Here is a 19,218-nt window from a genome sequence, read left to right as displayed (position 1 = left end):
CTCGCGGGCAGACGGAGGCGCCTCTCTTTCCCCGCCCCTCGCCTCGGCCCTTTCTCTTCCCAGCACCTCGGCTGTTCCCCGGCGGCGGCAGCGGCAGCGGCGGCCCACACAGCAGCGAGAGGCGAGAGGAGGCTGCCTCGAGGAGGCTGCCTCGAGGATGAAGTGCAAACCCAACCAGACGCGGACCTACGACCCCGAGGGGTTCAAGAAGCGGGCGGCGTGCCTGTGCTTCCGGAGCGAACGCGAGGACGAGGTCCTGTTAGTGAGTAGCAGCCGGTACCCGGACCGCTGGATCGTGCCGGGCGGGGGCATGGAGCCCGAGGAGGAGCCGGGCGGTGCGGCGGTCCGAGAGGTGTACGAAGAAGCGGGAGTCAAGGGGAAGTTAGGCCGGCTCCTGGGCGTCTTCGAACAGAACCAGGATCGCAAGCACAGAACGTACGTGTATGTACTGACTGTCACGGAGCTGCTGGAGGATTGGGAAGATTCGGTTAGCATTGGGAGGAAGCGAGAGTGGTTCAAAGTCGAAGATGCCATCAAGGTTCTCCAGTGCCACAAGCCCGTGCACGCCGAATATCTGGAGAAACTAAAGCTGGGCGGTTCCCCAACCAATGGAAACTCCATGGCCCCATCCTCGCCAGATAGCGATCCCTAGTATGTACCGCTTGCGCTCGCGCAGACTTCTATTTGTCTGCCTCGCTTAAAATGCGTCCCGCCTGGAGCACCTCTCGTGCCATGTGCGGTCTCACGGGGAGGAGGGAGGCTTCTTTTGTTTCCTTGGCAGACCCTCTGAATCACGCTTGCAAACTGTCTCAGTTGCCAGGCCCTGTTTTCAAGACAGTTTGCACGTTTTTCAGATGCTTTCAAAATCGCTTCTTGGTTACACTGTAAAATGTTTCGGGGAAGCCTATGCGGCTTGGGGTTTTAGGTGCCTTAACTGTTCACCCTGCTTTTGGGAGGTGTGTGTGGGGGGCGAGGGGTGGGTGGGGATTGTGTGTGGAGTGTGTGTCTGCCTGTGCGCCCTGTGATGTTTTTGGTTCTTTTATATTTCACACATATTCGTGGGTGAGCGTGCGTGCGCATTTTTGATACCAGCCTTGTGGTTTGTTTGGTAGTGGAGGCCTTTAAAGTCTGACCAGCTTGGTTGTGTGGCATCTTTTAGTATTCTTTTTCCCCTTTAGTTTTCTCCTTCACAGCGTTCGCCCTTGTTGTCAGGGAGGCCTTCTGTGGTGGGAGTTGGTTTAAAAGATCAGTTTTGAATTTTTTTAAAAATTGGGAAATCCTACATGTTGTGCTCTTTCTGCACTCTACAGTCACTTTAGCTTCTGAAATGGGATCTCATTTGCCCCTTTCAGAAATTTCTTTTTCTGTTTCTATATGTAGATCATTTGGTTTTCAAAAAATTTTCACAAGTGGTAATTTTTCACTGCTGACTTCAAATGGCTATTTCCCATGTAGATTAACCTTATTGAATAGATGCTGCGGAGGATCTGCTAGCCAAACACATCTTATCAGAAAAACCGTATTCACAGAATTTGATTTCCCATACTCAACTTCCAACTCCCATTGCCCCTTACTGGATACCATAGAAGAACCATGGTTCTCTGGATTTAAGTTCGTTTTTGAAAGTGGTCTCCCTCCCATATTTGAATGTAGTGACATTCCGCTTAAACCTCCCTGACTCCCAGTAACCACAGGAATGGAATCTTTTATGGTGATTACATCCCAACTGAGTTAGCTCTAGTGATGTTCAGCTGGTACAGAATTGTCAAACTATTAGGATTCCTGAACAATCTCTCTTAACGATAGAGAATAATTGTTTTGTCTCACAGGACACCCTATTCTAGGTGCAGGTGACCAGCATCTACATCAAGAACTTAACGTTGCCTGTAATCCAAAAACCTCCTACTCATTATTTTGCTCTCCTGTCTTTTAATACCATAGAAAAGTTCCTTTTGAAACCGTCTCTGCTGTTTTTTTTTTTTGCTGCCCCCTTGTGTGCTTTTTGTATTTTACCCTTCAAAACACTGAAATATTTTTCTCTATTTGGAGTACATTGTAATTTCACAAATAATATTTTTTATGCTGCTAAACAGTGAGTGCCGTTGCACTTTCTAAAGAAATATGGTGCCACTGTTTTGAAAAGAAATATTACAACAACACATTTAAGTATAGGTAAACAAAGTACAAATCTGTTTCTCAAAATATTTTCTGCACTAATGCTATCAAAGGAAAGAGTAAACTAGAAATTGTGGCTTTTTAAAACTTACAACAGTTTTATTATCTGAATTACATGGTCTGATCAAATACGGAGTATTTTTCTATTTTTCTCTTAACAAAGTGATACATGTTGAATATATATATTTGAACCACATATTTTAAAAAATATTTTGTAACTTTTAATTCCAGGGGTACAAGTGCAGATTTGTTCCGCAGGTAAACTTATGTCATGGTTATTTGTTGTACAGATTATTTCATCATCATGAAGCACATATTTTAAATTCCAAACAATTTGACTTAATTATTCAGTCTAAAATGGATCTTAAGATTTTCCTCAATAACCTAATTATTACAGAAGGTTCTTGTTTCTACATTAATATTGACCTAGGAGGTATACTAGATTGTATTTTATGGATATTTTTGTAGATGAAATGTGTTCCACATGAAACACTGTCACGATTACTTTGGAGACTTAACTCGTACTTTCTATCATTAGAAGTAATTATGCATCATCTTATTTGGTTCTTAAGTTATGTATCTGACAAAGTAAAAATTAATGTACAGCATTCATAGTAACCCTCTCTTAAGAATTGTTAGCTTATAAATATGTCGTGGTTTTTCCTTTTCTTTTTTTTTTTCCAGAAACACTTAGAATATGTAGTGTTACTTTTCAAGGCGTACTGTTAAATTAAGTAGTTTTTGTAAAATATTCTCTGGAACTTAGTCTCATCAGAATAGTTAAGAGCGCCAAGGAGATTCTTTTTTTCTCTTCAAAACTAAGTCAAGAGTTTCAAGTTAAAAGCATTAGTACAGAAAATGTTTTGAAAAACTGAGATTTGTACTTTGTTTACCTATACTTAAATGTGTTATAAGATTTGTTTTCGGAACAGTGGCACCACATTTCTTTAGAACAGAGGTAGTATATAGAAAATTTCTGCCACTTCAGTGCTCCAAAATTTGATGTATAGTTGAGATTTTTTTCCTTCTAAGAGTAGTAGAGTTCACTTGTACATTATTTCTTTTGTGATAGCAGAAAAATGTACACCTAAATTTTACAGCCCTGTCTTGATAAAGAAAGGAAAAAGAGTACACAGACAATTGAGGTTTGCAGACATGAATCAGATTTATTTTCTGCATGTTTTATAAATAGCTTACATTTTCAGCTGGTCAAGTGTTTTATTCTTGTGAATATATAAAGAGGAAACATTAATATAGATGCATATACTGGAAACAATTGGTGCTGTGTCTATAATATATACAGTTTTTCTCAAGAAGTATGTGTGTGTTTAGATACAAAATCTGTTGACTACACTTTAAAGAAACAAACTAAAGGGAAGAAACTCGAAAATAATTTTGTTGCTTTATTTGCATAGATTCATTTGCAACAATTGATGTAAAGGTTTTAAATTCTTTCTGTGATTTCATTTCAGAAGGTTAGTATAAGAATGCCAATTTGTTTACAGTTAGAAAATGTGTATTTGCCTGGCAGAGCTTTCACCTCTAGAATTCCCTTGTGGGGGAGCCACCAGGTACTCTCTGAAAGACTTTAAACAATATTTTCCTGGTAGTGGTCTCTTGATAAGATAGCTATTAATACTAATGGTATTTAGCAGATTTTAAATATGTTTGGGCAAACAGCACTATAAGAAGTGGAAGTTACTATGCTGACTGTGCTAAAACATAACACTTTTATAAGAATAAGAGAGCATGGGCTGGGCATGGTGGCTCACACCTGTAATCCCAGTACTTTGGGAGGTCGAGGTGGGCAGATCACTTGAGGTCAGGAGTTGGAGACCAGCCTGGCCAATATGGCGAAACCCCAACTCTACTTCTAATTATTAATGAAGTAAAACTACAAAAATCAGCCAGGCATGGTGGCACGTGCCTGTAATACCTTCTATTTGGGAGGTTGAAGCAGGACAATCTCGTGAAACCAGGAGGCAGAGGTTGCAGTGAGCCAAGATCACTCCAGCCTGGGCGACAGAGTGAGACTACGTCTCAAAAAAAAAAAAAAAGAGTGAGCGCATGATGTGATAGAAACTACATTGGGGGTTTGAAGTCAGACAGATCTAGTTCCAGTTCTTCCTCACTGAAACTTAAGCCAAGTTATCTAACTATCTGACGCTCAGTTTAAAAAAAAAATCTGTTGTTGGAGATAGTAAAAATAGACACTTTACAAACATCTCCAATGAGAAGCCTTTCCTGACCACCTGGGTTAAGAAACCCTCTTCTGTGTCATGGTTCGCAGAGTTTATTGTACTTAATCTGTTTTCTTGGCCATGTGGTCACTGGACTGAAAACTCTTTCGTGGGTGGGAATCAGCCTGAATTATTTCCATGAGTCTAGAGTCTGTAACATGGAATTTAGGATATTTTATGTCTTAAATGGTCACTCCTCTTTTACAAAACTTCTGATATCGCTGCTTTCCTGACTTTTTTACATCATGGTATACATTGGCTTATAACCCCTCAGTTGCTGATCCAGACTCATTGATTGCATCTGCATTAGATAATTCTGTGGAAGTGAAGTGCTTGATGCAAAGTGATTGATGTACATAATAAGCTCTTGGTACATTTGTCAGTTGGAGGAATTATTAACATAAGCCTGCTAATTGTGTGTTGGTTTGTTTTTCCAGATGAACAGCAAAGATGTTCAGTATTGTGCTGAAAGAAACATTGATGTGAACCCAGTGATCAGTGGAATTGTCAAGTACAGGTGAGCACTTCTGTGTTCCCAAGAAGACAGCTCATCTGGTTTCTTCCTGCATCTTGGGACACTCCTTCCCTGTCTATACCACTGACTCTTGCTCTGGTTGTTGTACTCTTATACGTGAATAGACTCTTAATTCAGCACCTATAGCCTTTTGTTGTGCTTTTTTGATGTGTCTGCCTTCATTAGACTATGATGTCTTTGAGAGCAAAGACTATTTTTCCTTACTCTTTGCATATTCTGCATCTGAGACACTACTTGAAATATGGTTGGCATCACTGAAGGTTCTTTGATTCAATTAATATTTTGTAATCACCGTGTGGCAAAACATTCCCCTTCCAATCTGGTGCTAGTAGAGTATATGCTATCTAGGCACCATGTGTGTGGCTTTTGTGTATCAGGTGTTTCAGAAATATTTCAAGACAGTTGTAAGATGTTTGAGGACAAGAATTATTACTCCTATTTCTATGTCATACCACACAGTAGCTGCACAGTTTTAAGATTATGCCATCACCTAGGGTAATGTTTTGTAGAATCAGTCCTTCGTGTAACAACTCTAGTGTTTTTGTACTGTTGATGATTTGCTTAAATTTTATTCAAAAACTATCACTTGCTATAAAGGTAATTGTAAAAATAAATACAGTGGACGCAAAATAATGTTGTGAGTTTTTATAAAAATAAATTTTAAAATGATATATAAGACATTTTTTTGCAATGCCTGCCCTAACCACTTCTTACATGTCATCTTAACATCTCTTTGAGGAAACACTGTTTCCTCATTTTACAGATTTAACATACTGTATTATTTGATGCCAGAGCCAACAGGCTATATCATAGGCAGTTTCCAAACTTAATTATGCCATTTAGTTTGTCTAGATTTCTTTTGCCTCTCTCACTGATCCATTTGGCTGTAGTTTTCATCCCTTTTCCAGTACACACAGCTAGCTCCTCATCCTACCTGGTTTCTGCATATGAGAATGCAGAGGGCTGAGAGAGGGCAAAATTGTTGTCATTTAGAAAAGGCATTTAGGAAAGAGGCTGCTATTAGAGGGGAACACAAAGTGAAGGTTTTTTTAAAAAAGAGGACTTGCATCAGCTGCCTCCAGAACAATTTTAAGAAAATAACAAAGATGTTTAGAAGAAATCTTACGGAGTTTGCCATGGGATGTGTGATATCAGCAGTCTTCAGCTCCTTACAAATTACCAAAAGTGGTTCTAATATGCTAGTTTGTTTGATTTTTTCTTTTATATTATAAAGCAATTGCATCGATAAAAGCTTGGACTCCATTTTAGTGTGACACTCTTCCTCATGATACCAGTGAAATGTATTGATTGTGTCCCCAGTTGTTACATAATTTGAAATAAAAATATAACTTCTTGATTTATTGTTTTTTAAGATGTGATATGGTACTGTGGTTATGTTGTTTTAAAAAATGATTATCTTTTAGAGAAGTATACTGAAAAATGTACAGGTGAAATGATATGTTACTGGTATTCGCTTCAAAATCATCTGAGTGTGGGGTAATTGAGTACATAGATGAAACAAGATTGGCCATAAATTGGTAATTGCTGAAGCTGTGTGATGGATGTTTGAGAGTTCATTATACTATTCTCTATACTTTTGTATATGTTTGAAATTTTCCATAATAAAAATTGAAAAAAGTATTCTTCAGAGTTTACTTGTAGGCCCCCTCTCTCCTAGACTTAAGTGCAGAAGGCTGATCAGAAGACAGATCCACAGCCCAGAAAGATTGATTCCTCCTCTCCGAAAACCTAGCTTTTGTTCTTGAGCTAAACTTGTTTGCAGACTGCTCTTCCGTTAGTGTGAATTTTTCCTTGCAAAGCCCCCAGTTCTACATGCCAAAGGACTTTATCCCCTTCAGTATGTCACACATTACCGGAAAACTTTAAACCCTAGTGGTGGACATAAGTTTAGGTTCCAGTTGGGACACTCATTCTACTATTTACCTTTTTAAAAAAGGGCACTGAATTTGTTTTTTCTGACTACAAAATTAATTCATCTCAATTTCAGAAAATTTTTAAAATTCCAAAATAATAAATAAAAAATGAATAAGATCTAGTATTTGATAGCACAACAGGGTGACTATGGTCAATAATTTCATTGTACGTTAAAAAATGACTAAAAGTATAATTGGATTGCATGTAACACAGGATAAATGCTTGTGGTGATGGATGCACCTTTTATCCTGATGTGATTATTACACATTGTATGCCTTTATCAATATCCCATATACCCCATACATATATATACCTACTATGTACTCAAAAAAATTAAAAATAAAAATTTAAATAATTACATGTAAAAAAATCACACGATTCCTCTACACAGATAACCAAGTTTAAATATATATAATTTCCAGTCTTTCTATTTACAAATATATATAATTCAAACAAGGATAGCACAGGTGTGCCTCATCCAGAATATTTCCAAATAATCCATGATCTTTTTATTGTTAAGTATATGCCATACAGGCATCTCGCTATTCCTTAGAATTTTTTAGGCTAATGCGCAGGGCCATAATGGAATTTGTACTGCTTCTGCCTTGCATAAGTATAAAAAGCATAGCAGAAAACTTGGGTCTGAAATTTAGACCAAGCTCTAGTCACCAAGACTTAGTGCAGGGTGGAATAGGCCTGTTTTGTGTTTGCTTTTGTTTCCTAATTCCCACACAGACTTTTTACTTACCAAGCACTGAGGCTGGGGACAAGCCATCAATTCAGAGGGGGTGCTCTTGTAATAAATCATACAATTGCAGTGTATTGGCTAAAAGTAGGCCTTTTATTAGTTTACCTGTTTTCCAGAAAGTTGTCTTTGTCTTCTCTGGCTTCTCAGCAAGCCACCATATCACTGCCTCTCTGCAGGCTCTGACCCTCATGAAGTTGCTGCTCCTCTGGGCACAGTGGTATCCAAGTGGTAAATAACTCTGGACTCAAAAGGGAATCCTGCTCTCCCTCTTCTACCTTCTTACCCCATAATGTGCCCACACCCTTCCCTAATTTCTTACAGCACCATCAGAGACTAGGCCGTGACTTTTAATGAGATTTTACTGAAGATTACCAGATAATGTGAGGGAAATGTAATACAAAAAATACAATTTACAACTACTGCACAGTGTATACTTGAAGGGTCAGACACTTTGTAGGTTTTGTTGCTAGACTAGTCCTCTGACCCACGCTGACTCCAAATGGCCTAGAGAAATCCCTCCATCCTCCAACCCCTACCACTACCAAAAACTGAGAGTCTGCAATTTCAAATTATGGACACTGATATTCCCATACCTGAGGAGAGGGGAAAGTTGTTCCCTCAACTCAGTCTCCAAATAGCACTTGAGATGTCTCAAATTTCTATTCCCAGAATTAAGGCTATAAACCTGAAATCAGTGAAATGAATCAAAAGACTGGAATGTGGTGGGTTGGGAATGGAAATTCAGTTTTATCTTACTCAAAAGCTCATGTTCTTTAGATGAAGATGATGACAACAGCTTATAATGAATTCAGTGGTCCTCCTTTATACCGGATGGTAAACATGGAGAACCAAAAAGCCCATCCACGGTCCAAGAAGATCCATTAACACTGTGACCTGTGTAAGTCTTCACAGCAATGTGAAGAAGCAGGCCAAGACCTCTGGGAGTTTAGACTTTGGGGCTAGTGCTGAGGGGATAGAGGGCTCAGGGCAGAGTTGGTAACAATTATTTTTCTTTTATCTACTCACTCAAACTTAGACCTCATTTCTTGGGTGTTAAAAGAAGACTATGTAGGTAGACTGCAAAGTCATTCTTAGCAGATGGTTCCAGTGGTGGCATGATGCACCCTAGTGGACATTTAAGGAGTTAGCTCAGTCCTAATGTATTTTTAAAGAAAAATTTATTACACTATTTTCACATAAATTATTTGAGCTCAAAGTCACATGGGGGCAGGGGAGGTTCTGTTAGCTCCATTTCAGATGAGAAAATTGAGTCTCAGCAAGGTTAGGTAAAATGATACAGGTCACGCTTCCAATACAGAACAAAGTTGGGATTAGATAACCAGGTATGCAGAATGCTGTTGCCATTCTGCCATTAAAAATGGCTGCTCTTGGGCGAACGCGGTCACTCACGCCTGTAATCCCAGCACTTTGGGAGGCCGAGGAGGACGGATCACGAGGTCACGAGATCGAGACCATCCTGGCTAACACGGTGAAACCCCGTCTCTACTAAAAATAGAAAAAATTAGCCGGGCGTGGTGGCAGGCGCCTGTAGTCCCAGCTACTCTGGAGGCTGAGGCAGGAGAATGGCGTGAACCCGGGAGGCGGAGCTTGCAGTGAGCCAAGGCACTCCAGCCTGGGCGACAGATGAAGACTCTGTCTCAAAAAAAAAAAAAAAAAATGCTGCTCTTGCCACAAAAACAGAAAAGAAAGCGCAACTCTGTGAGATGATGTATATGTTGATTTGCTTCATTATAGTAGCTGTTTCACTATCTATATGTATCCCATAACATGTATACCTTAAATATACACAAAATCTATTTTTAAAAGTTTACTATTACATTTGATTTAGAGCAAGGAAACCTTTCCCAGAAACACTTGCTGTCCAAGACTATTTACATTGACCTTTTTCTAATTCTGAATTAAATCTTAGTACTTAATATATGAAGAAGGGGCCTTCATCATGTTTCAATCAGTAAAATTTTGAGTTATTTAAGCTGTATTTTTCCATCTAGGTTTAACCTGGTAGATAAATAGTCAAGTATTTGCACTGATCTAGTGCCTCCATCCTTACAACTGTGCTTTAGCTGTGATAAAGCTATTCAGAACTTTAGGCCAAGAATTCTGCTACCTCAGGGTATGTGGGTTGAGCAAATCAGAAATAGCTCCTGTCTTTATGGAACTCTCAGTGTATTGAGGAGACATTATACATTCCAACAAAATGTACTAAGTATTTTTTATGATAGTGGGGATTCAGTCGGCTCTGCTAGCTCATAGTACAGGGAACTAATCTATATGAGGCTAGGAAGAAGAGAAAAAGTTTCTTGGAGGAAATGCCATGTAATTTGACATCTAAAGGATAAATAGGATTTAGCCAGTAAAAGTAGTGAAAGGGTATTCCACAGAGAAGGAAGAATAAATGTGAGGTTCTGGAAGACAGATAAAATATGGTGCTTCGGGGAACAAGAACTTGTTCATTATGTCTAGAATGTAGTGTAAGGGTATAAAAGAAAAGAAAGGATCTTCTGGAGATGAAACTGATGGGGTAAGAAAAATCTAGATTATAGAGAGTCTGATGTGACTTGTTCAGGGATTTGAGGAAAGGAGACATGACCTCAATCCGAAGAGTAGAAAATTGTTTGCTAAAGGGCTAAGAAGAGGCTGTGGTAATAGTCCGGGTGAGAAATGATGGTGACCTGAACTAGGGTATTGACTATGTTGAAAGAAGTAGATACATTCAAGAAATATGTGAGCCAGGCACAGTGGCTCATGCCTGTAATCCCAACAATTTGGGAGGCTGAGGCAGGAGGATTGCTTAAGCCCAGGAGTTTGAGGCTGCAGTGAGCTATGATTGTGTCACTGCACTCTAGTTTTGGTGACCAAGCAAGGCTTTGTCTCAAAAAAAAAAGATGTAAATATGTGGCATTTAAAGGAGTATAAGTTGATTAATTGGATGTTGGAGTTGAGAGAGAGGTGTGGATATCATGGATATATTTTTAGAATATTTGGCTGGAGCAACTGAGTTGATGGTGTGCCATTCCCTTAGATGGAACCTAATAGAGGAAAAATATAAAAGCACCTACTTTCTGCTCCAAAAGTGAAGCGGTACTTTTAAGTCAGGAATCCTGTACTTCTTCCCCCTATGCAGGCCTGAGAAGAATGTGAGGTTAATTTTATAAATGTGAATTTCTGGTACCCAAGGGGCATTAACTTGGAGATGTTCAAAAGGCCGGAGATACCCTGATGTGCAGCCTAGGAAAGAAGAATGAGCCGGAGATGTAGATTTTGGAGTCATCAGTGCATGGGCAGTAGGTGAAGAGGATATAAATGAGATCATCCAGTAGAGAGTGTAGAGAGAGGACAGTGAAGATCTCTTTGAGTAGTATCAACATTTAAGGACTTCCAGATGGTTATGTAACTGAGTATTTCATATTTCTAAGAAAAAGAGAATGAGTTATTATTTTTTATTTTGGTTACTCCTTTTCTGTTTTTTCCTTTTCTCCCTGTTCCCCACTTCCTGCTTAGCCCTTTAGAAATTCAATTATAACCTTTTACCTCCACTTCACTAGACACTTCCTACAAGGCAATTTCATCTAACTATGTGCTTAGAAGCTCCAGTGTGGAACTCTCTCCCACAAGGAGACTGCCAAAAGGACAACAGTCAATTTACAGCCCAAAGTATGCCTGCTACAAAACTCTCCCGCCTGGAGAGCTTCAACCACCTTTACAACCTAGTTCTGTCCATGAAGAAGCCAACTCGACTGCCTGGTAGATGAAGCAACAAAGTGAGCACGCAGACACCCACCTGTTTGCTTCCTCCCCTGCATGCCATTTATTCTAGGCCCCCTTTTAAAAGCATGCACTTTCTGCTCCAAAAGTGAAGCGGTGCTTTTAAGGAAGGAAGTCTGTACTTCTTCCCCTAAGCTAGGTTTTGAATAAAAGGTCACTTTCTTTATACCAGACCTCGCTCTTGTTAATTGGACTATGCAAGTGGCAAGCAACTGAACCTGCATTTTGGTTACAGTTTTGGTGGCCCATATGGGGAAGTTCTGTGTGCCCTAGGCGATCCAAGCCTGTCAGCCTGGTTTCATCACTGGGTCAGGCGTGGGGTCGCCTGTGAGTGCCAGCTGCTCTTGGCTAGCAGACCCGTGACAGGACCATTAGGGAACTTCACAGCAGCTGCCAGAAAGGCTTTTGTTCTTGGTGAACCTCCCTTTCACCTCCCAGCATGATGTCTGCTGCTTTCAATCCTTCACGGGTACAAAGAAAGTGACCTCTGAAGAAGCCAGCAAACTCTGGAATTGAGTGAGTGAGTTAGAGTGCACCTGACCACCTTCTGCCTCTCTTGGGGTGCTGCGGGGCCCTGCTTTATTTAGACTTGGCTGATAGTGACACCATTTCATCATTTTATACATTTACATTTGTTTGTATGTGCAACACCAAAGGACCATTTGCTGGGCTTGGACTCAGCTGCCTGTGGAGCCATTTGGAACTGGGGCGGGGGATTCAGGACCTCACCCAATCCCTTGATTGGTGATTCATTCGGAAGCATGCTGTTTGTTTCCATGTGTAAATGTATGACTTTGTGTATGGGCCCTGATCACTTTACTCTCTACCTCCAGTTTCACCCTTCTGACTATCTGGGAGAGCCTCCCACTTGGGGTACTGAGGCTCTCTTTAATGGAAGATAAATGAGAATGGTGGGGGTAGTGACCCTGCACTGTGTGATGGCTGGAAGGCTCCCAAGTTTCCTTTCAGTCACTTTACCTCCTTTCTTTCTCATTCCCCACTCGTAAAACCTTCTTCCCCTCCTTTCTTTCTCATGCCCCACTTGTAAAACCTGGCTTCTGTGTGGAGGCCTGCCAGGCTATATCTTTCTCTTCTTTTCTGCCTGCTTTAAATCTGCTGTTACTAAGCTGCTGGTACTGAGATAGGACTCATTATTTGTGGACTAACTAGAACGTAAACATTGGAAACTCACTTGAAACTGAAGGGGAAAAGGGTAAAATGTTTCTTTTTAAAAAAAAGCCACCACAGGGAGTGCTTTACCAAAATTTAAGTTCACAGCTTTTACTGGATTATGTATTGGGGCAAACAAAATTTAGCCATGTAAACAAGTTCCAATCTCATGAAAGAATAGCTTAGCAGTGTGAATTTCACCATAAAGTGGTGAGTTTGTATATTTTTTTTGACAGAGACTAATTTTAGTTCAGTGGTAACTTCTAAATCTGAGTTATTGACAAAATGCCCATATGTTTAAGGTTCTTACTTAAACACCTAATGTTTACAGGCTTTAAAATGGTTAACAGGGAAATAACTTTAAATAATGACCACCTTTGTGTAATATCTCAATTTTCAGAAGTAATCTAAATAAACTGTTAGAAATGGGAAAATTGGGTACATATAAATGACATAAATGCTTGTAAGTAGACTTATGTATACTTTAAAATCTTAGAATTGTTTTGGATGCTTATTGGATGTCTGGGTCATTTCCAATTAAAAAGGGGTTGCTGTGTGGGAAACATGTTCCAAAAATTGTGGAATGTTCTCATCTATAAACTGCTAATATCGATACACAGTTCAGGACTTCTTGCTTCCTAGGTTTATATAAAATGTACCAAAGAACATGGGCTCTTATTGTGTCCAGAATTGTTTCCTTCCGGTGGGTTCTTGGTCTCGCTAACTTCAAGAATGAAGCTGTGGACCCTCGCGGTGAGTGTTACAGTTCTTAAAGATGGTGTGTCCGGAGTTTGTTCCTTCCAATGCCCAGACTTCAGGGTTGATTCCCTCCTCAAGCAGGGGACAACAAATGGGTAACTTGTTCCCCATATTCATGTAGATAATAGCTCCAGCTTTGGCTAATATATCCCTCCCTAATAAGGGTGTGGGACATCCAGGCATAACAAGAAAGGCATGTGAAAAGAGCAAAGTCTCCCAATTACAACTGAGGAGGTGGGAGAAATACTTGGTTACAGGCTGTCCCGGGATTCCTCAGTGGTAACGGACCTTAAGGACAGTTGTCCAGGACAGGAGATTAACACTGAGAAAGCCACACCAGTGTCCAGGAGGAAGTCAATTTCCTGGCCCTCAACGGTTATACATACCCGGGGCTCAGTGAGAGCGATGATATGAGCTGAGCTGGTGCCTACCCCGGGCACCCTCAGTCCTGTTGTTGGATCATCTGGTTGGGGGCTTCTGTCTCAGAGAACCTTTGTCCTCTGGGGCAGTGTGCCGTCCAGTGATTGCCTCAGCATAGTGGACATGGGTGAGGGGGAAACTTGTTTCTCATAGGACAATCTTTTTTAAAGTGTCCTTGTAAACCACACTGATAACAAGCCCTACCGGGCAATTGGCCTGCTCCATTTTCTGTCCTCTCTGAACCACCAAGGTTTGTTTGTCTGAGGGCCGTGACTAAGGCTGCGGCCTTTCTCTGATCTCGCTTTTCCTTTTGGGCCTGTTCCTGTTGGTCCCTATTATAGAACACCAAGGTTGCCAGGTTTAATAATGCCTCCAGATTTTGTTCAGGGCCCAGGGCTCACTTTTGGAGCTTTCTCCTGATATCCACGGCTGATTGGGTAATAAACTTATCCTTTAGGAACAATTGACCCTCAAGTGAGTTGGGTGACAGAGGAGTATATTTTCTTAAGGCCTCCAGTAGCCACTTGAGGAAGGCAGAGGATTTTCTTCCTTTCCCTGAGTTATGGTGGACATCATTGAATAATTCTTGGGCTTTTTCCTAATTCTCCTTAGTCCTTCTAGAACACAAGTCAGCAGATGTTTATTACCCCAGTCCCCATGATCTGAGTCGAGGTCCCAGTGGGGATCCATACTGGGGACGGCTTGCTGACTGGTAGGCAATTTGTCCCTTTCTTCGGCTGTCATTCTATCATTTACTTGACTAAGATACCAGGTATCTCCAAACTCCCAGGCTGCAGCTAAAGCCACATTCTTTTCATTAAAGGCCAGGGTTTGATCTAACAATAGCATGACATCTCTCCAAGTGAGATCAAAGGTTTGCCCTAGACCCTGTAGGACATCTGTATACCTATCAGGATCATCTGAAAGCTTCCCCAGGTCTGCCTTGATCTGCTTTAAATCAGAGAGGGACAAGGGGACATGTACCTGGGTTGGGCCAAATTCCCCTCCCCCTATAGCTTGAAGGGGACATAACCGATAGCCTGGGGGTGTTTGTGGTCCTTTGGAGATTTCTTTGCTTCTTTCCTTCTGGGCAGGGGAGATTAGAGGAGGCTCATTAATAGGAAGGGGAGCTACAGGGAGGCTAGGATATGGGGGTAAGCTGAGAGGTCCTCCTGTGGGATGTAAATTGCAAGCTTTGCATAGTTGTGCATTCTCCTTCAATGAAAAGAAAGCTTGGACATAAGTTCACTCCATTTGCCTTCCCTCTTACAGAAAAGGTCAAGCTGCAGGATAGTATTGTAATTTGTACTTCCCTCAGGTGGCCATTTTTCCCCATCAGAGAGAGAATATTGGGACCAGGCCATAGTGCAGAAAAAAATTAGCTGCCTCTTTTTCAGGGTTTGCGGGTCAAATTGGTCCCAATGGCTTAGGATGCATTTCAAGGGTGAGCCTGTTGATGCCTGAGTGTTTCCCATCTGAAAGACAAAACCACCCCCGGTTTTGGTTTGTTTGTTTCTCCCCCTGCCCAAGAACCCGCAACAGTCCCTGGACCCTACTGATGGGAATAGTTGCGCTCACCGATGCAGCAGCAGAAACACCTCTTTCCCAAGAACCCACAGTGGTCCCTGGACTCTGCTGATCAGAATAGTTGTGCTCACTGACGCAGCAGCAGAAACACTAGTTTTCCTCTTAGACCACAAGGAGGACCAAGGAAGGTCGGATTTAGTGGCCCTTACCGATGCATTCTCGAAAACCTGCACCCTTGCCTGTCCTGCTAGACCACAAAGAGGACCGAGAAATATCAGATTTAGTGGCCCTTATCGACGCATTCTCGAAAACCTGTTAGAGTCCTAAGCATTCTCCTGTTAGTATTGGGACTTTACCCCATCCTATAAAGATGTTATGTCCCAAAAATGAAGTGGAGGGCCATATCCTGAGGGATGGGAGGGATCTCCAGAGTTGGAAGAGGACAAAGGCTTGCATCAGCCCTTGTCCTCATTTATATGAATAGGAAGGATACAATTTCTGAGGCTCCCCATATCTTAGCTTCAGGAATAGCTTTTGTTAGGCCTGCTAGTCTGAGGAGGGATCCTAAAATTCCAGATAAGATAGTCCCCCGCTCCGACGGGGCTTTGGGCAAAAATTATGTCTTTCTAATTGGTGAGCCTGGGTGCCTAAAGAAGGTAACAGAGTCCTGGAGTTTATACTAGAAATCATTCTTACAGGAGAAACTAGAAAAGCACCAGACACAGGGAGTGGTTTTTAGAAGCGGGACTAGCCTCGGAGAAGAGAGGTGAGATGAAGTTTGTCTGACAAGCATTAGGACCCAGGAGGCAAGGGTCAGGATAGATAGGATAGATGGGCGAGTCTCACTTGGGCGACATGACTTTGAGAGTTCTGCTCATGGCCACAGGGTGAACCAACTTGTTGTTGGGACCCCGGAGCTGAATGGCTTTCCTCTTCTGTCGACCCTTGGCTCAGCCCAGCAGTACAGGAAAAGTGGAAGCTGGTTCCAGGCAAACCAATGCTCCCAACTCCAAAGAGTCAGGGATTGTTAGAGAACCCTTTCCCAGAAACCCTGACACCTGTGTCTTTAGTCCGGTGGCCATGCTAGTCGCTTTTAACTGGCCGACAGGTGCCTGGTCTTTAGCCCTCGAATTCTAAGGTAAAATAGGACAGAATAGCAAGTGAAAGGGGTCCGATGGTACTCACTGCTTGGTGATAGTTGATAGTCCCATCTGGGTCGCCAAAATGTGTCTGGAATTGGTTCCTTCCGGTGGGTTCTTGGTCTCGCTGACTTCCAAGAATGAAGCCGCGGACCCTCGCGGTGAGTGTTACAGTTCTTAAAGATGGTGTGCCTGGAGTTTGTTCCTTCTGGTGTTCAGATGTGTCTGGAGTTTCTTCCTTCTGGTGGGTTCGTAGTCTTGCTGACTTCAGGAGTGAGGCCGCAGACCTTCGCAGTGAGTGTTAACAGCTCTTAAAAGTGGTGCGTCCGGAGTTGTTTGTTCCTCCCGGTGGATTCGTGGTCTTGCTGGCTTCAGGAGTGTAGCTGCAGACCTTTGTGGTGAGTGTTACAGCTCATAAAGGAAGTGCGGACCCAAAGAGTGAGCAGCAGCAAGATTTGTTGTGAAGAGCGAAAGAACAAAGCTTCCACAGCATGGAAGGGAACCCAAGCAGGTTGCCGCTGCTGGCTCGGGTGGCCAGCTTTTATTCTCTTATTTGGCCCCGTCCACGACCTGCTGATTGGTCCATTTTACAGAGCGCTGATTGGTCCGTTTTTACAGAGTGCTGATTGGTGCGTTTACAAACCTTTAGCTAGACACAGAGCACTGATTGGTGCATTTTTACAGGTACTGATTGGTGCATTTACAAACCTTTAGACACAGAGCACTGATTGGTGCATTTTTACAGAGTGCTGACTGGTGTGTTTACAAACCTTTAGCTAGACACAGAGCGCTGATTGGTGTGTTTCTACAGAGTGCTGATTGGTGCATTTACAAACCTTTAGCTAGATACAGAGTGCTGATTGGTGTGTTTTTACAGAGTGCTGATTGGTGCATTCACAAACCTTTAGCTAGACAGAAAAGTTCTCCAAGTCCCCACTTGACCCAGGAAGTCCAGCTGGCTTCACCTCTCATTACTGAGAAAAATAATTTTGACTAATTCAAAAGTTATCTAAAAGTTAATTCAAATTATGGAGTTGAAGAGATTATACATGTAACTTTCTGTATTGCTTTTTAAGTCCTTGTGCTGTTAAGACAGAGCTTTGACTCTTGGGTCTAAAAAGGGTACATGATAATGTCATGTCTAGCCTTAATTCTTGTGAGAAGCTAAAATCCTTTGCAAGCTCATAAATGATTGCTCTAGGTCCTTCTGGAAAGGTCAGTGGCATGTGGCCCATCCCATAGCTCAGTAGGCTTTGCCTTTCACAGTGACAGCCTAGGTGCTTAGGGAATAGGTCCATTCTGGTTTGTTATTTGTGTGACTTTTGGCCATTTATTGATTCTTTTTCCCTTTATGGACAGCTTCTGATTTCCTGTCTTGAAATTTCCCTTTCCCTGAGCTTTTGAAAATCACTTGCCATCTTTTCGAAAATGCCCCATGCACCTAAGGTTAGTTAAGTCATACCCTTGGTTAAGGCTTATTGATTTCATGTAGGAGGTTACCTTTATTTAAAAAAAATTAAAAGTCAGAAATATTGGCCCTTTGTCCTAGCTGAAATCTGGTAATAAAAGATTTAAATATATATACATATGTTTTGAGAGCTTTGTAGTTAGAAATTAACTTAAAGGTGATATTTGGGTTATATGTGTACCTATATTGTTTTAAAACCCTTGCTTGCCCTCTAAAATCTTCTCAGTCAATGGAATTCTGTCTGATTCTTCATTTACTCCTGTCTAATCCTTCTTCCTCTTGTATCTAATATTTTATCTCCCTACCAGATCTGCTTCTGTCTGTGTATGTATATGTGTTGTATGTGTAATGCTTATATAAAAGAGCTCTAATTAATTGGCTTAAAAATAAGTGCTTAAATCAAATACTTTTCTAGAAAAATAAAAACTGTAATGCCTTTTAGTTCACAAGACTGTAGTAATCTTTGGTAAATAAGCCTAGTTTTAAAGGTTATTGATAAAAGAAAACTGTCTTCAACGTTTAGACGTTTGGTCTAAATTAGGCAGGTCAGATACTGTTTTCTAGATGCCTTAAGGTCATAAGCTGCTTCTATGACTTTTAATAATTACTTAACTTGTCTGTTTACAGCCAATTAGATTCTCTAGTTAAGGCCTGGGGACATAGAGTTAGCCAGTTTCCCTGGCTAGGCTGGGAAGAGTCAGACATTGTCTGCAGCTCTGTCTTTGTCCTTGGCTCCATAATCTGATTGATACATGGTTAAAATTGCTTACTTACCGCGTTTTTCACCAAAAATAAAAGTTGCTGAGAGTTAACATTGTAACAAGTAACTGAGACTACTGAAGAAACAGCTTTATGTGCAAGGTGTATAAGGAAGGTAGAATGTATTTTTAGTAAAAGGTTATAAGAAGGCATGTAATTATGGTTTTTGTTAAAGGAAATGCAATTTTGTCTAGTTCAGAGGTTTTTAAGGATTGTCCTAAGCTAAAAGAATAATAGGACAAAACTGAGAGCTTAAGCAAGTTGTAAAAGATTTGTGAGAGATTGATCTTGTAAAGGAAGTTCCGTGGGTATGAGCAAGTTGGCTAAAATTTGAAGGAGGCTATTTAGTTTTTCCAAAAATTAAACATTAAAAAAAAAGCACACTGATGCAGGGCCAGAATCTGGGCCCATGTGTTGGAATTACAAGGTCTTCTTAGAGTATTGATCTGCTCTTTAACAGAAAATTGTAAAGTGTTATGAAAGGCTTATGGAAATTTTACATTATGGTCAAACTAATTAAGATTGGACAGATTTGTTTATAAGGTTTTATTAAGAAT

The 19,218-nt window shown here is 41.1% G+C and overlaps 1 protein-coding gene across 1 annotated transcript; it reads left to right on the top strand.

Moving 5' to 3' along the window:
- NUDT11 (nudix hydrolase 11) lies at window positions 10-6,591 on the top strand. Its single transcript, NM_018159.4, has 2 exons — window positions 10-651; window positions 4,853-6,591. Coding segments are annotated over exons 1-2 (495 nt in total). The 5' UTR covers window positions 10-157; the 3' UTR covers window positions 4,854-6,591.
- The last annotated feature ends 12,627 nt before the right edge of the window (window positions 6,592-19,218 follow it).

The sequence above is a fragment of the Homo sapiens genome, chromosome X, assembly GCF_000001405.40.
Source record: "Homo sapiens chromosome X, GRCh38.p14 Primary Assembly".
In the NCBI taxonomy this organism is placed as follows: domain Eukaryota; kingdom Metazoa; phylum Chordata; class Mammalia; order Primates; family Hominidae; genus Homo; species Homo sapiens.
The sequence above is the reverse complement of the archived record's forward strand: the minus strand, read 5'-3'. Positions and strand labels throughout refer to the sequence as shown.

What these genes read in the sequence shown, in the direction of transcription:
- NUDT11 (NM_018159.4), top strand. Translation starts at nt 158, where the DNA reads ATGAAGTGCAAACCCAACCAGACGCGGACCTACGACCCCGAGGGGTTC.